Here is a 12,423-nt window from a genome sequence, read left to right on the forward strand (position 1 = left end):
TGGCGAAAACTCCCTTCACCACAAGAGCTAACAAAGGTTCAGCAGGAACTGCCTCACTCTCTCAGTTTCTCCTTCCTCTTCAGAGGGAGTGCCTCTGTTTTAATTCCAGCTCAGGTTCTTTCTCACACATATATACAAGGAGTTAACATTCTCCGTCTCCTCTGGTTCCAGTTTTTGCAGTGGGCTTAGGAAAATGCTTTTCCTCCCTTCATTTCCTTTATCACCCTCCCTCCTCCACCAAACATTCTGATCATGGCCATAAGCCCAAGCAGTGGCAGTGATAGACTTGTATAAAGAAAAGGAAAACCCATTGAACCTGAAAAGTAAACAGCACAAAGGTCAAATAACAACGAAAGGCTTGTCAAAGGCTTGTACATGGTTGCCAAGAGTGTGGTACTGGCAAGCAATGCTTTGAGACTGTACAGGTAGAGAGAAGTTATTAGGGCCGCAGCATCCATGGGAGGGCTTTGGGGAGAGAGAGAAGAGCTAGAGCTGACCCTGAAGGGACGGTGATTCCCAAACTGTGGTAATCTGGGTGGCCTGAGTAAAGTCATCTGTGCTCAGAGGCAGGGACCAGGTGGGTCTCTCTGGGATGGGGGTTTGTGTTGGAGGCAATGAGCAAAAGTCTGAAAGTATAATTTGAGCCCTTAATGGTAAAGTCCAGAAGTTTGACATCAAAGATGGCAGTGATTTGATCAATGTCGCTTACTGAGGTTTAAGGAAAGATACAAATTATCTGTAAAAATGTAAACTCAAAACAAATTTGTCAAAAGTTCAGTATAGTAGTGTATCACCACTGTGCTAAAGGTTTTCTTATTTCAAATAACTCAATAAAAATGAGGCAAACCATTCTGTAACTAGCTAAACTGAAGTCCATACCAACTATTTAATGCTTCAAAATAACCTTAAACTTCTACTCACTTATCATTCTACAATTTAAGTAAGTAATGTTTCACATTTTCAACAGAATGTATGCTTATAGACACATAAACACGAAAGATAGGGACAGATCATCTTGGTGACTTGCACGTATGTGGCAAGTGTCCTAGGGAAAGGAGCAGGCATGGGGTGAAGGTGGGAACAAGAGTGCCTGGCGTGACCATGTGAGGCAGGGCATTTGGCTATGTGTTGCTGTGTGCTCTGTCTCACCCCCGTGACCCAAGAATATTAGTGTGGCAGGGTGTGGACAGCAAGGATTAATGGGTCATTGGCAAACATGGGCGAGGCTGGTGTTTTACTCCCTTCTGAACAGTCTTCAGTACTATCAAGCTTTTGCTTGTTTTTTGGTGGTGTGGATGGCAGGTTTCATTTGCAGGGCCAAATATATATAAACTAATAACTGCCAGGAATGATTTGTGATATGGAATGAAATCTTTCAGTACTTTTTAAATGATAGAGGCATTAAAAGAATGCAGGAGAAATAAATTCCTGTGGATGAAGCAGACTTTTTTTGGGGGGACAGAATTACTCAGTTCTAACATTAACTATGTTTTATTAGTTCTTTGAAAAACCTGCAAATGATCTGGTCAGTTCTATAATTTTAAAATCTAAAATCGTTTACTATCCCAATACCCTAAAAACAATACTTACTGTGGGGTCTTTTATTAAGACTTTAAAGATACTTTTCATAAGCACAATTTTATTTCCTGGTGACTGGAAAAATAGGAAAATATTTAGAGCCTTTTGCTTAATTGATAAGGTAACACTGAAACAAAGGTTAAAAACAAAGCTGAATGGAGAAAATAATGCCTATAGAAATATTCATGTCAAACAGGTAAGAATATTCTTGGCAACTGCAGCCCCTGCCTCCACAATTGCAAAATTGCAGCTCCCTGTCCCTTCTGTCTGTCTCAGCTCCGCCCACGTCCAGTGGCTGAGCTACAACGAACTGCCCCACCTCTTTTAAAGCGTCTTTCTCTGAACTGTGCAAGGAAGAGAGCATCGCCTGACAGTGGTGAGGTGAAAATTAAAACTACACAGGGGTCAATGCTCTGCTGAAAAGTATGAAAAGAAGTTCGTTTGTAGCGTTTCCCGCAGTCTCCTCGCCTCTCCTCGGCCTCTGGCGCCTTCCTCCCCTGTCTGCTCGCACCCTATATTTCTACCCCAGCTCATCAGTGTATTTGTTTGTTAATTCATTCATTCTTTCATTCATATTCTCCGCTGTTGTTAATTTTCCCATTGACAGTAGGCGCAAGGGGCAACGCCACTCGCCCTGTCCCTCTAGCGTGGCCTCTGTTTGGGGGTCTGGGGTGGAGGTCGTCCCGGCCCGGGTGGTTCCGGACGCCGGCTTTCCGCACCTGGCTCGGTGACGGCCTCGGCGCCCCGCCCTCTTGGCCACGGTCCGCAGCCATCGCCCCAGTGAGGGCGCGGTCTGTGGGCGGGGCCGGCTCCAGGAGCCGCGCTGTGATTGGCCGTGTCCAGGCAACCGCGGAGACGCCGTCGTCAACAGACCGCGCTCGGAACCAGAGGCGCGGGTCACAGAGACCTAGAACAGCTGGAATCCTTCGCCCCCGGCGCGCAGCCTTCGCCCGCCGGAATCGCTGCCTTATCCACCAGCGGGATGCTTACCTCGCCCGCCCTCTCGGGTCAGGCGGGCCCGGGAGGATGGGAGGGTGGCTGCTGAGCGGGAGCCGCCACGTCTTCCACCCGACATATTGCCTAGTAAGTGTGGGAGCGATGCCTGCCGCACGAGAGCCGCCGAGGTGCCGAGCCTTCCAACAAGCGGCCTAGGGAGGTCTTGGAAAAATGCCATTTCTGAGGTGGACTACACGCCCACTTTACAGATGCGGAAACAGTACCAGGAAAGCTCGGTGACTTGCCCTGGCCCACTTAATCGTCCGCTACCCAGGGCAAGCCGAGGGTCAAGGTACCGACCCCTCCTACTCTAGAGCTCTTTCCATCACACCTCACCCGAGCCCACGCCCAGCCGCTCTGGTGGAAAAGCGGTTTTCCTAGTTTCTGTCTATGCCATAGGCCAGCAGTTCAAGGTGATGAAGTCCACCTGGGCTTTGGAGGGAACATGGGAACCAGAAGAAACACATTTCCTGAACATAAGGATAAATATGTATAGTCTAAAAGCCAAAGCAACACTTACATGGTTTCACAATCATATCAGTTTCTTTCACCCTCCTTATATGGAAATAAGACTTAATAAGTAGATTTAGTTTCCATTTGGTAGAGCTTTTCCTTTCATTTTCTTGGAAGCTCTGTTTCTTCTCAGCAATGACCTTCCTCCTAAAGCACTCCAATTATTCTCAGATATTGCCTTCTTGACTATTTTCTCAACGGTGGGACAGTCCGTTTCAATATCCTTGTCTCTGTCCACATTATTTGAGCCAATGATCACAGCCAAGCCTTGTCCCTTAAGGGCAGAAAAAATGGGAGGAGGTTTAAGGGTTTCTGGGGAAGAGTTGCATCAGGATCCATCATGAAGCTTCGTCCCAGTTTCCTTTCTTCCTGGAAAAATCATCGTTCACAAATTCACCTAAATCACAAGATATATATCCACCTAGCCCAGACTTCTTTTTCAGAAACTAACAGGGGTATAGGAAGTTTGGGGTGTTGATAATAAAGTAGCTAGAAGCTTATTGAATGTCTAAACTGGATTAATGGACTCTCAACCCTGCACTGTCCCTGAACCTCCGAGCACATAGGACCTTTTCTCTGAGGGCATGCTGACTTCACAAGACTGTCGCCCAGGGCAGCCCAGGAGCATCTGCTTCCAGTAGACGGGGCCCTTGTACAGTTGCCAGCTTAACCTTTCTATTTTCCCCAAAGCTTTGCCTGCCCACATTTTCAGCTCAGACTTTCACTTCCTTGTTTTTCCTTTTACACTTCCTCCTTCTTCTAAGGAAATACTTTCCTATCCAAACTCTATGTATGGTTCTTGGGATGGCCTCTAAAACTTAGGGCAATGCTCAACTCCGGTATGTTGTTGTTTCCGACTTCTGGGTTACTTGGTTCCCCAATTTATAATAACCTCAGCTGAGGAAACTCTGAATAATAGTAAATAAATAAATAAATAGCATAGTTTTATCAGAAAATAATATATCCCCCTTTATTTTTTTTTGAGACAGGGTCTCGCTCTGTCCCCCAGGCTGGAGTGCAGTGGTGCAATCTTGGCTTACTGCAACCTCTGCCCCCTGGGTTCAAGCAATTCTCCTGCCTCAGCCTCCCTAGTAGCTGGGATTACACGTGTGTGTTACCATGCCCGGCTAATTTTTGTATTTTTAGTAGAGACGAGGTTTCACCATGTTGGCCAGGCTGGTCTCAAGCTCCTGACCTCAGGTGATCCGCCCGCCTTGGCCTCCCAAAGTGCCAAGAGAGCACTTTGGCACTTTAAGGGGGCATTACAGGAGTGAGCCACCGTGCCCGGCCAATATATCCCTTTTTTAAAAGAGCTGTTTCCTGATATTAGCCTTATTAACACTGTGGATATTTGCCTTCTTTGAACAAAATCAGGATTCTCTTAGTAGCTCTGAGTGATCAGTTTTATTCATCTCAACTCTCACACCAAGTGCCTGCTGCGTATGAGGCCCTGTGCTGAGAATCTTCCTGTAGTTTGTCTCCGTAGTCATTGAACTGTCTTTAAGTCTAGTGAGGACAAGCCTGAAGTGCCTAAGACCTTAGTGATAAAGTATCATAGCAAAAGTTAGGGTTTTCCCAGGGAGGGGCTGCGGAAGGTTGTGAAGGGGTTTCGGGGAGGCTTAATGGCAGAGGCAGCATTTGAAATGAGACTTGCAGGCTAAGAGTCTGCATAGGAGAGCCGTCTGAGACCAACCTGGAGGTGGGAAAGCAGGCGGGCTAGTGGGGGTGGGGTGGGGAGAAGGGGGCTACGTCCCGGCTCGCAGCAGGCTTCCTTGCTCTGATAGAACAGTTCCTATCCCACTTGAGTGGAACAATTCCTTCTGTTGGGAGATGGCTTTTCTCCCTTTCCCCCTTTCCTTCCTTTTTTTTTTTCCAGACAATACAAATATTCCATTTGTATTTCAGACAATACAAATATTCCATTTGTATTTCAGACAATACAAATATTCTCAGGCTACAAAACGCTGGAGGTAAGATCTGAATCAGACTGGACTGTACAGGTTCTCAGATCCAGTAGAGCCAATTACACTTTTTTTAAAAATTAATTTTTTAAAAGTCATATGAGTGCAAAAGGGACTGGGGCGTGCACCTTAGCTATACTGGAGAAGTTTTGATTGCCTTTTTTGGGGATCAAAAACATGTCCCTTTAGCTTAAAAACAACACCTGTGACTATTCTGAACCCCTCTTTAAGGTTCCCAAATCCACTTTACAAAATCTTATTAGGGCAGTTTATGTAAAAGTGCTCCCTTTTAAACCTAGTACTCCCTTCAGCAAGAATATTGTAGGAGGTGGGTGTGTTTCAGGGAAGAGAAAAATTAATTGGAAATGATGAAATAGTAAAGAAAAAAGTTTCTTCTGAGCTTCCCTTTCTTGTTTCTTGGAACAACTGACCAAATTTAAAAGACTTTCTTTCAGCTCCAGTCTTTGTGGATAGATCCTCAAAAACAAGTTGAGGCATATTAGTCTGCCCTTGTTTTCATGTTCTGTGATTCTAAACTTTCTAGCTCAGTATGATTGGAGACTTGGGGATAAAAAGTGCTTGGGATGAAAGTGGGTCTCATGAAACAAAATACAATGACTAAAGAACCATGACTTTTAGATCATTTATTTGCACATAGCTGTTTCCAACATATAAAGTGCTTATCCACGCATAACTTATACATCAGCACAGTTGTTCCTTGAATAGCCCTGGGAGTTAGGGTGTGCAGGTGGTATTACTATCCTAGAGAGGTGGAATCACCTTAAAGTGGCAGAATGGGCTTATACTGAGTTTTGATTCTAAACTTTTCCACTCCTACGTGATGCTCTCCAAGTAATATTGCAATATTCTCCTCAAATTGAGCCTTTGTAGAAAGAAAGCCAGATCTTCACCAATAATAATTTGTATACCTTTGCAACTCAACATATGTGGACAATACAAATTCACATAAACCTTGAAATGGAAATTATTATCTTTTTTTTTTTTTGAGACTGAGTCTCGCTAAAGACAAGTTCTTGCTCTGTTGCCCAGGCTGGAGTGCAGTGGTGCAATTAGAGCTCACTGCAACCTCGAACTCCTGGGCTCAAGCAATCCTCCTGCTGCAGCCTCTCGAGTAGCTGGGACTACAGGCATGCACCACCATGCCTGGCTAATTAAAAAAAAAAAATTAGTAGAGATGAGTCCTCCACTATGTTGGTCAGGGTAGTCTCGAACTCCTGGGCTCAAGCGATCTTCTCAACGTGCTGGGATTACAGGCATGAGCCACTGCACCCAGCCTCATTATCTTTAAAAGTTTGAGAGTGATAAGCCAAGAAGCTTATTGAGTCTGAGCTCTGAGAATAAAGATTAGCGTTCCGGATGAGGACCTAGGGCCCTACTAGAATGCAGTCCTACTGGAATGCAGATTGCCTTGTCCCATAAGACCTGGCTGGAGGAGGTTAATTGTAAAGATAGCAGAGTGGTTAAGAAATGGCTTTGACTCCTGCTTTTCTCACTGGCTGTGGCAGAACCTGTGAGCAAGTTCTTTAAATCCTCGAAGCTTGCGATTCCTCACATGTAAGTGGCGTGTTAATAATGAGTAACTGATATGGTATGAAGAAGCTGTGAGCTAGTGCGTATAAAAGGACCAACAAATGGAAGTTGTTGCATTGCTTCTATTACACTAAAGATCACAGAACACAGATCCTGGAGCTGAATGGCCTGGTTTAGAATCTTAACTCCACCCCTTACCAGTTGTAAGATTGTGGACAAGTTAATTAACCCCTCTCTGTCTTGGTTTCCTCATTTGTAAAATGAAAATAAGAGTAGTACCTACCTCATGAGGTTATAAGGATTAAATGTAAATTGCACATAACATGATGTTAAATAAGTGCTTGCTAATGATAATACTTCTAACTCCTTTTTATAAAACCTCCCTGACTTGGTCCAACTGATTTTTGTGTTTGACTGAATTTCCATGTCATGACAGTGAAACTTTTAGGAAATACAGTTAAAGTTTTAGAAATAGGGAAAGAACCTATTTTCATTGTTAAAAAGTTTTACAATTCAGGGTATCAGTTTACATGCATTGTGAATTCTGGATACAGAAGTAAGCAGAACTTTCTACACTTCCTCCAGGTCACCAGGCCCTGCCCATTTGTGGTGAGCGGGTTAAGATTGCATTATAGTTTGGCCCCATCCTTTCCTCTTGCATACACTAGCTATATTTAGGCAGGTCTAGCTAAGTTTAATATGTTGCATATGGCCTTGGGTCCAGTTGATCCCAGAACAGATGGCTACATGGGCCAGAATGCTTAAGTCCAATTGTAGAGCAAAGCCCCAGACAATAAAACATTCAGAAAGTGGATACATGTATTCCAGCTGGGCTGAGCTGTGGTCTGGTTCCCAACCGCCACCAGCTCCCAATTAGCCACTACACCTGTTCGACAGGTAAAAACCTGTCAGAGTTTTATCCTTCTCATCCTCATTGGGCACAAAATGTCAGGTGTGATTGTTATTGGAATACAGATGTGTAGTGAAGGTTCTGGGGCTAGTGTTTATTTTTTTCCAAAATGGAAGAGCTTTGCAGTTTTCTGATTATAAAAGTAAATTCCAGCTGGGCGCAGTGGCTCACGCCTGTAATCCCAACACTTTGGGAGGCCAAGGCGGGCGGATCACGAGGTCAGCAGTTCGAGACCAGCCTGACCAACATGGTGAAACCCCATTTCCACTAACAATACAAAAATTAGCTGGGCATGGTGGCACGCGCCTGTAATCCCAGCTACTCAGGAGGCTGAGGCAGCAGAATTGCTTGAACCTGGGAGGTGGAGGTTGCAGTGAGCCTAGATTGTGCCACTGCACTCCAGCCTGGGCAACAGAGCGAGACTCCTTCTCAAAAACAAATGAACAAAAAACAACAACAACAACAACAAAGTAAACCCCATTTTAGAAATATTCAAATAATGCAAAAATTTAAACAATATAGAAAAGGCAAAAACCACACATACTACCACCACACAGAGAAAACTACTCTAAACCTGTTACGGAATATCTTTCTAGATGTTTTTGTATATATATATATATATATATATATATATATATATATATATATAGTTGAATATTGAACTTTATGGATACCTCTTAGCAATTCATGTGACTGTCCTCTTTTCCACCAAATATACATGTATAATTTTAATTGATAAATAGCATTCCACTTCATGGGTGTACTATAATTTATGTTAAGCCAGTCCCCTGTTGACGTTAGATGATTTCCAAGTTTTTAGGAAGTCTGAGTTTATGATTGCCCTTACAGGAGTTTGCTGTGACTTAGATCTTGATTCAGAGATGGAGAAATCAGGCCCATCTTCTACCATCTCTGAGCAGCAGCTGCAGAGGCAAGAGGGATGGATTAACACCAAAACAGACTTGGCTGAGCAGAGTCTCATTTCATCTGAGAAATGGCTTCAACTGCATGGGCTTAAGAGCAACAAATTGACCTTGAAACAGATTTTGTCACAGATCGGATTCCCACATTGTGAAGGTACAGTACTCACAAACAACCAGCATGCTGCCATTTAGCCTTTGAGGTGGAGGTGGCTGCATCAGCTCTGAAGGCCCCTCAAAAACCACAGGTCTCTGAGCTTGCTTTGATCTTATATCCCTATCAGTAGAAAATGCTTGCACGTGTGCCCCCAATATATGTGTATTAAGTAGACGTACAATTGTCAATCCATGTATTAAATAATGCTTAATTTCATCCTTTCTTTTTTACTTTTTAAATTGACAGATAAAACTGTATGTATTTATCATGTACAACATGATGTTTTGAAGAATGTATACATTGTGAATGGCTGTATCTAGCTAATTAACAAATGCATTGCCTCATATAGTCATTTTTTGTGGTGAGAACACTTACCCACTCTTTCTGTGTTTTTCAAGAATGCAATCCATCATCATTAACTATGATCACCATACTGTACAATAGATCTCTTGACTAGATGTCCTAATTGTAGTGGTATATCCTTTGACTAACATCTTCCCGATTCCCACCGCCACAACCACCCCAGCCTCTGATAAGCATCACTCTACTCGCTACTTCTATGAGATAAACTTTTTAAAATTCCACATGAGTGAGGTTATGTGGTGTTTGTCTTCCTGTGCCTTGGTTATTTTATTTAACATAATGCCCTTGAGGTTCGTTCACGTAGCAAATGACAGGATTTCTTTCCTTTTTATGGCTGAATAGTATTTAATTGTGTATATATACTATGTTTTCTTTATCCAGTCATCTATTGATGGACACTTAAGTTGATTTCGTTATCTTGGCTATTGTGAATAGTGCTGCACCAAACAAGAGAGTGCAGATATCTCTTTCACTTACTGATTTTATTTCCTTTGGATATACATATCCAGTAGTGGGATTGCTGGATCATATGGTAGTTCTATTTTTAGCGTTTTGAGGAACCTCCATACTGCTTTCCATAATAGCTATATTAATTTACATTCCCACCAACAGTGTGTGTGGGTATCCTTTTCTCCATATCCTTGCCAACACTTATCTTTTTGATATTAGCCATTGTGACAGGAGTGAAATGGTATCTCATTGTGGTTTTGATTTGCATTTCCTTGACCATTAGTAATATTGAGCATTTTTTTCATATACCTGTTGGCCATTTGTATGATTTATTTTGAGAAATGTCTATTCAGGACTTTTGTCCATTTAAAAACCAGGTTTAGTTTTAATATTTAAGTTCCTTTAATATTTTGGATATTAACCCCTTTTCAGATGTGTAGTTTGCAAATATTTTCCCCTATTTCTGTAGGTTGTCTCTTTACTCTGTTGATTTTTTTCCTTTTCTGTAGAGAAACTTTTTACTTTGATGTAATCTCATTTGTTTATTTTTGCTTTTGTTGCCTGTGCTTTTGAGGTCATATCCAAAAAATCATCACCCAGATCGATGTCATAGATCTTTTCCCTTTTTCTTCCAGTAGTTTCATATTTTCAGATCCTACAATTAAGTCTGTAATTCATTTTGAGTTGATTTTTGTATATGGTGGCAATAAGGGCCTAATTTTGTTATTCTGCCTGTGGCTATACAGTTTTCTCAATACCTTTTATTGAAGAGACTGTCCTTTCCCCATTGTGTGTTCTTGGCACCCTTGTCAAAAATCAATTGGCTGTACATACATATGTGGATTTATTTTTTGGCTCTCTATTCTATTCCATTGATCTATGTGTCTGTTTTTATGCCAGTATCATGCTGTTTTGATTACTATAGTTTTGTAGTATATTTTGAAGCCAGGTAATGTGATGCCTCCAGGTTTGTTCTTTTTGCTCAAGGTTGCTTTGGGTATTCTGGCTTTCTTTGTGGTTCTATACAAATTTAAGGATTGTTTTTTCTATGTCTGTGAAGAATGTCATTGGTATTTTGTTAGGGGTTACACTAAATCTGTAGAGCACTTTGGGTAGTGTGGATATTTTTAACAGTATTCATCTTTCCAATCTATGAACATGGAATATCTTTAAATTTGTGTCTTTTCAATTTCATCCATGTTTATAGTTTTCCTTGTAGATATATTCCACCTCCTTAGTTAAATTTATTCCTAAGTACTTTATTTATTTGTTTTTGGTAGCTATTGTAAATGGAATGGTTTCCTTTTACACTTTTTTGGATAGTTTGCTGTTAGCATGTATATCACTGCTGATTTTTGTTGTTAATTTTGTAGTCTGCAACTTTACTGAATTTGTTAATTAATTCTAACAGGTTTTTAGTGGAGTCTTTAGGATTTTCTCTGTATAAGATTGTGTCATCTGCAAATAGGGACAATTTAGCTTCTTTCTTTCCAATTTAGATGCTGTTAATTTCTTTCTGTTGCCTGATTGCCTTGGCTAGAACTTCTAGTACTGTTGTGAATAAAAGTGGTGAAAGTGGGCATCGTTTTCTTCTTCCAGATGTTAAAGGAAAATCTTTCAACTTTCCTGCCATTCAGTATGTTAGCTGTGGGTTTGTCATATATGGCCTTTACTGTGTTGAGGCACATTTCTTCTATACATAATTTGTTGAGAGTTTTTATTATGAAGAGATATTGAGTTTTGTCAAATGCTTATTCTGCATCTATTGAAGTGATTATGTAGTTTTTTGTCCTTCATTCTGTTAATATGATGTATCCCATTTACTGATTTGCATATGTTGAACCATCCTTGCATTTCTAGGATGAATCCCACTTGATAATGGTGAATGATCTTTTTAATGTGTTATTGAATTTGGTTTGCTAATATTCTGCTGAGCATTTTGCATCTATGTTCATCAGGGGTATTGGCCTGTAAGTTTTCCTCTTTTGTTGTGACCTTGCATGGTTTTGGCGTCAGGGTAATGTTGCCTCAGAGAATGGATTTGGAAATATTCTCTCCTCTTCAAGTTTTTGGGAAGAGTTTGAGAAGAATTGGTATTAGTTCTTCTTTAAATGTTTGGTAGAATTCAGCAATGAAGCCATTCAGTCGTGGGCTTTTCTTTGCTGGGAGATTTTTTTTTTTTTTAAAGATGGAGTCTTGCTTTGTTGCCCAGGCTGGAGTGCAGTGGCACGATTTTGGCTCACTGCAACCTCTGCCTCCTGGGTTCAAGTGATTCTCTTGCTTCAGCCTCCCAAGTAGCTGGGATTACAGGCATGTGCCACCATGCCCAGCAAATTTTTGTATTTTTAGTAGAGACGGGATTTCACCATGTTGGTCAGGCTGGTCTCGAATTCCTGACCTCAGCTGATCCACCTGCCTCGGCCTCCCAAAGTGCTGGGATTACAGGTGTGAGCCACCATGCCCAGCCAGGAGATTTTTTATTACTGATTCCATCTCCTTACTCATTGGTTTGTTCAGATTTTAGATTTCTTCATAATTCAATCTTGGTAGAATGTATGTGTCCAGGAATTTATTCATTTCTTTTAGGTTATCTAATTTGTTCATGTGTAATTGTTCACAGTAGTCTCTTATGATCCTTTGTATTTCTGTGGCATCAGTTGTAATTTTTCCTTTTTTACCTCTGATTTTATTTGAGTCTTCTCTCTTTTTTTCTTAGTTTAGCTCTAGGTTTGTCTATTTTGTTTATCTTTTCAAGAGACTATCTCTTTGTTTTATTGATATTTTTATGTATTTGTATTCTCTATTTCTGCTCTGATCGCTAAGGTAAGGTAAAACATTGGGTTGTTTATTTGAGATATATTTGAGATATATATTTTTTGAAGTAGGTGTTTATTGCTATAAACTTTCCTCTTAGACTGCTTTTGCTGTACCCATAGGTTTTGTTATGTTGTATTTCCATTTTCATTTGTCTCAAGGAATATTTTAATTTAATTTAATTAATAAATTTTTTTACTTCAGTAGATT

At 41.2% G+C, this 12,423-nt stretch overlaps 1 protein-coding gene across 15 annotated transcripts in view, besides 3 other annotated features; it reads left to right on the forward strand.

Moving 5' to 3' along the window:
- Positions 2,193–2,693: an enhancer, noted in NCBI's record as "H3K4me1 hESC enhancer chr2:98703358-98703858 (GRCh37/hg19 assembly coordinates)". NCBI's record gives its function as "activates a minimal SCP1, AML or CMV promoter by ChIP-STARR-seq in naive H9 embryonic stem cells {active_cell/tissue: H9 hESC(naive)}" and the evidence as "EXISTENCE:reporter gene assay evidence [ECO:0000049][PMID:30033119]".
- Positions 2,465–12,423, forward strand: part of VWA3B (von Willebrand factor A domain containing 3B) — a 243,450-nt gene continuing 233,491 nt past the window's right edge. For 14 of the 15 annotated variants that reach the window (XR_922885.4, NR_144296.2, XR_922884.2 and 11 more), the window contains exons 1-2: positions 2,465–2,661; positions 8,359–8,586. Coding sequence is in view for 9 of the 15 variants with exons in the window: in NM_144992.5 (NP_659429.4) it covers positions 8,391–8,586 (196 nt within the window). In the remaining 6 variants the exon portion in view is untranslated. Of the gene's footprint in view, positions 2,662–8,358; positions 8,587–12,423 lie in introns of those variants that run through there. The other variant, XM_047443640.1, reaches the window with a different exon arrangement.
- Positions 2,590–2,659: an enhancer, noted in NCBI's record as "active region_16254". NCBI's record gives its function as "activates an Ori minimal core promoter by ATAC-STARR-seq in GM12878 lymphoblastoid cells {active_cell/tissue: GM12878}" and the evidence as "EXISTENCE:reporter gene assay evidence [ECO:0000049][PMID:35858748]".
- Positions 2,694–3,194: an enhancer, noted in NCBI's record as "H3K4me1 hESC enhancer chr2:98703859-98704359 (GRCh37/hg19 assembly coordinates)". NCBI's record gives its function as "activates a minimal SCP1, AML or CMV promoter by ChIP-STARR-seq in naive H9 embryonic stem cells {active_cell/tissue: H9 hESC(naive)}" and the evidence as "EXISTENCE:reporter gene assay evidence [ECO:0000049][PMID:30033119]".

Source organism: Homo sapiens, chromosome 2 (assembly GCF_000001405.40).
Source record: "Homo sapiens chromosome 2, GRCh38.p14 Primary Assembly".
Lineage (NCBI taxonomy): Eukaryota > Metazoa > Chordata > Mammalia > Primates > Hominidae > Homo > Homo sapiens.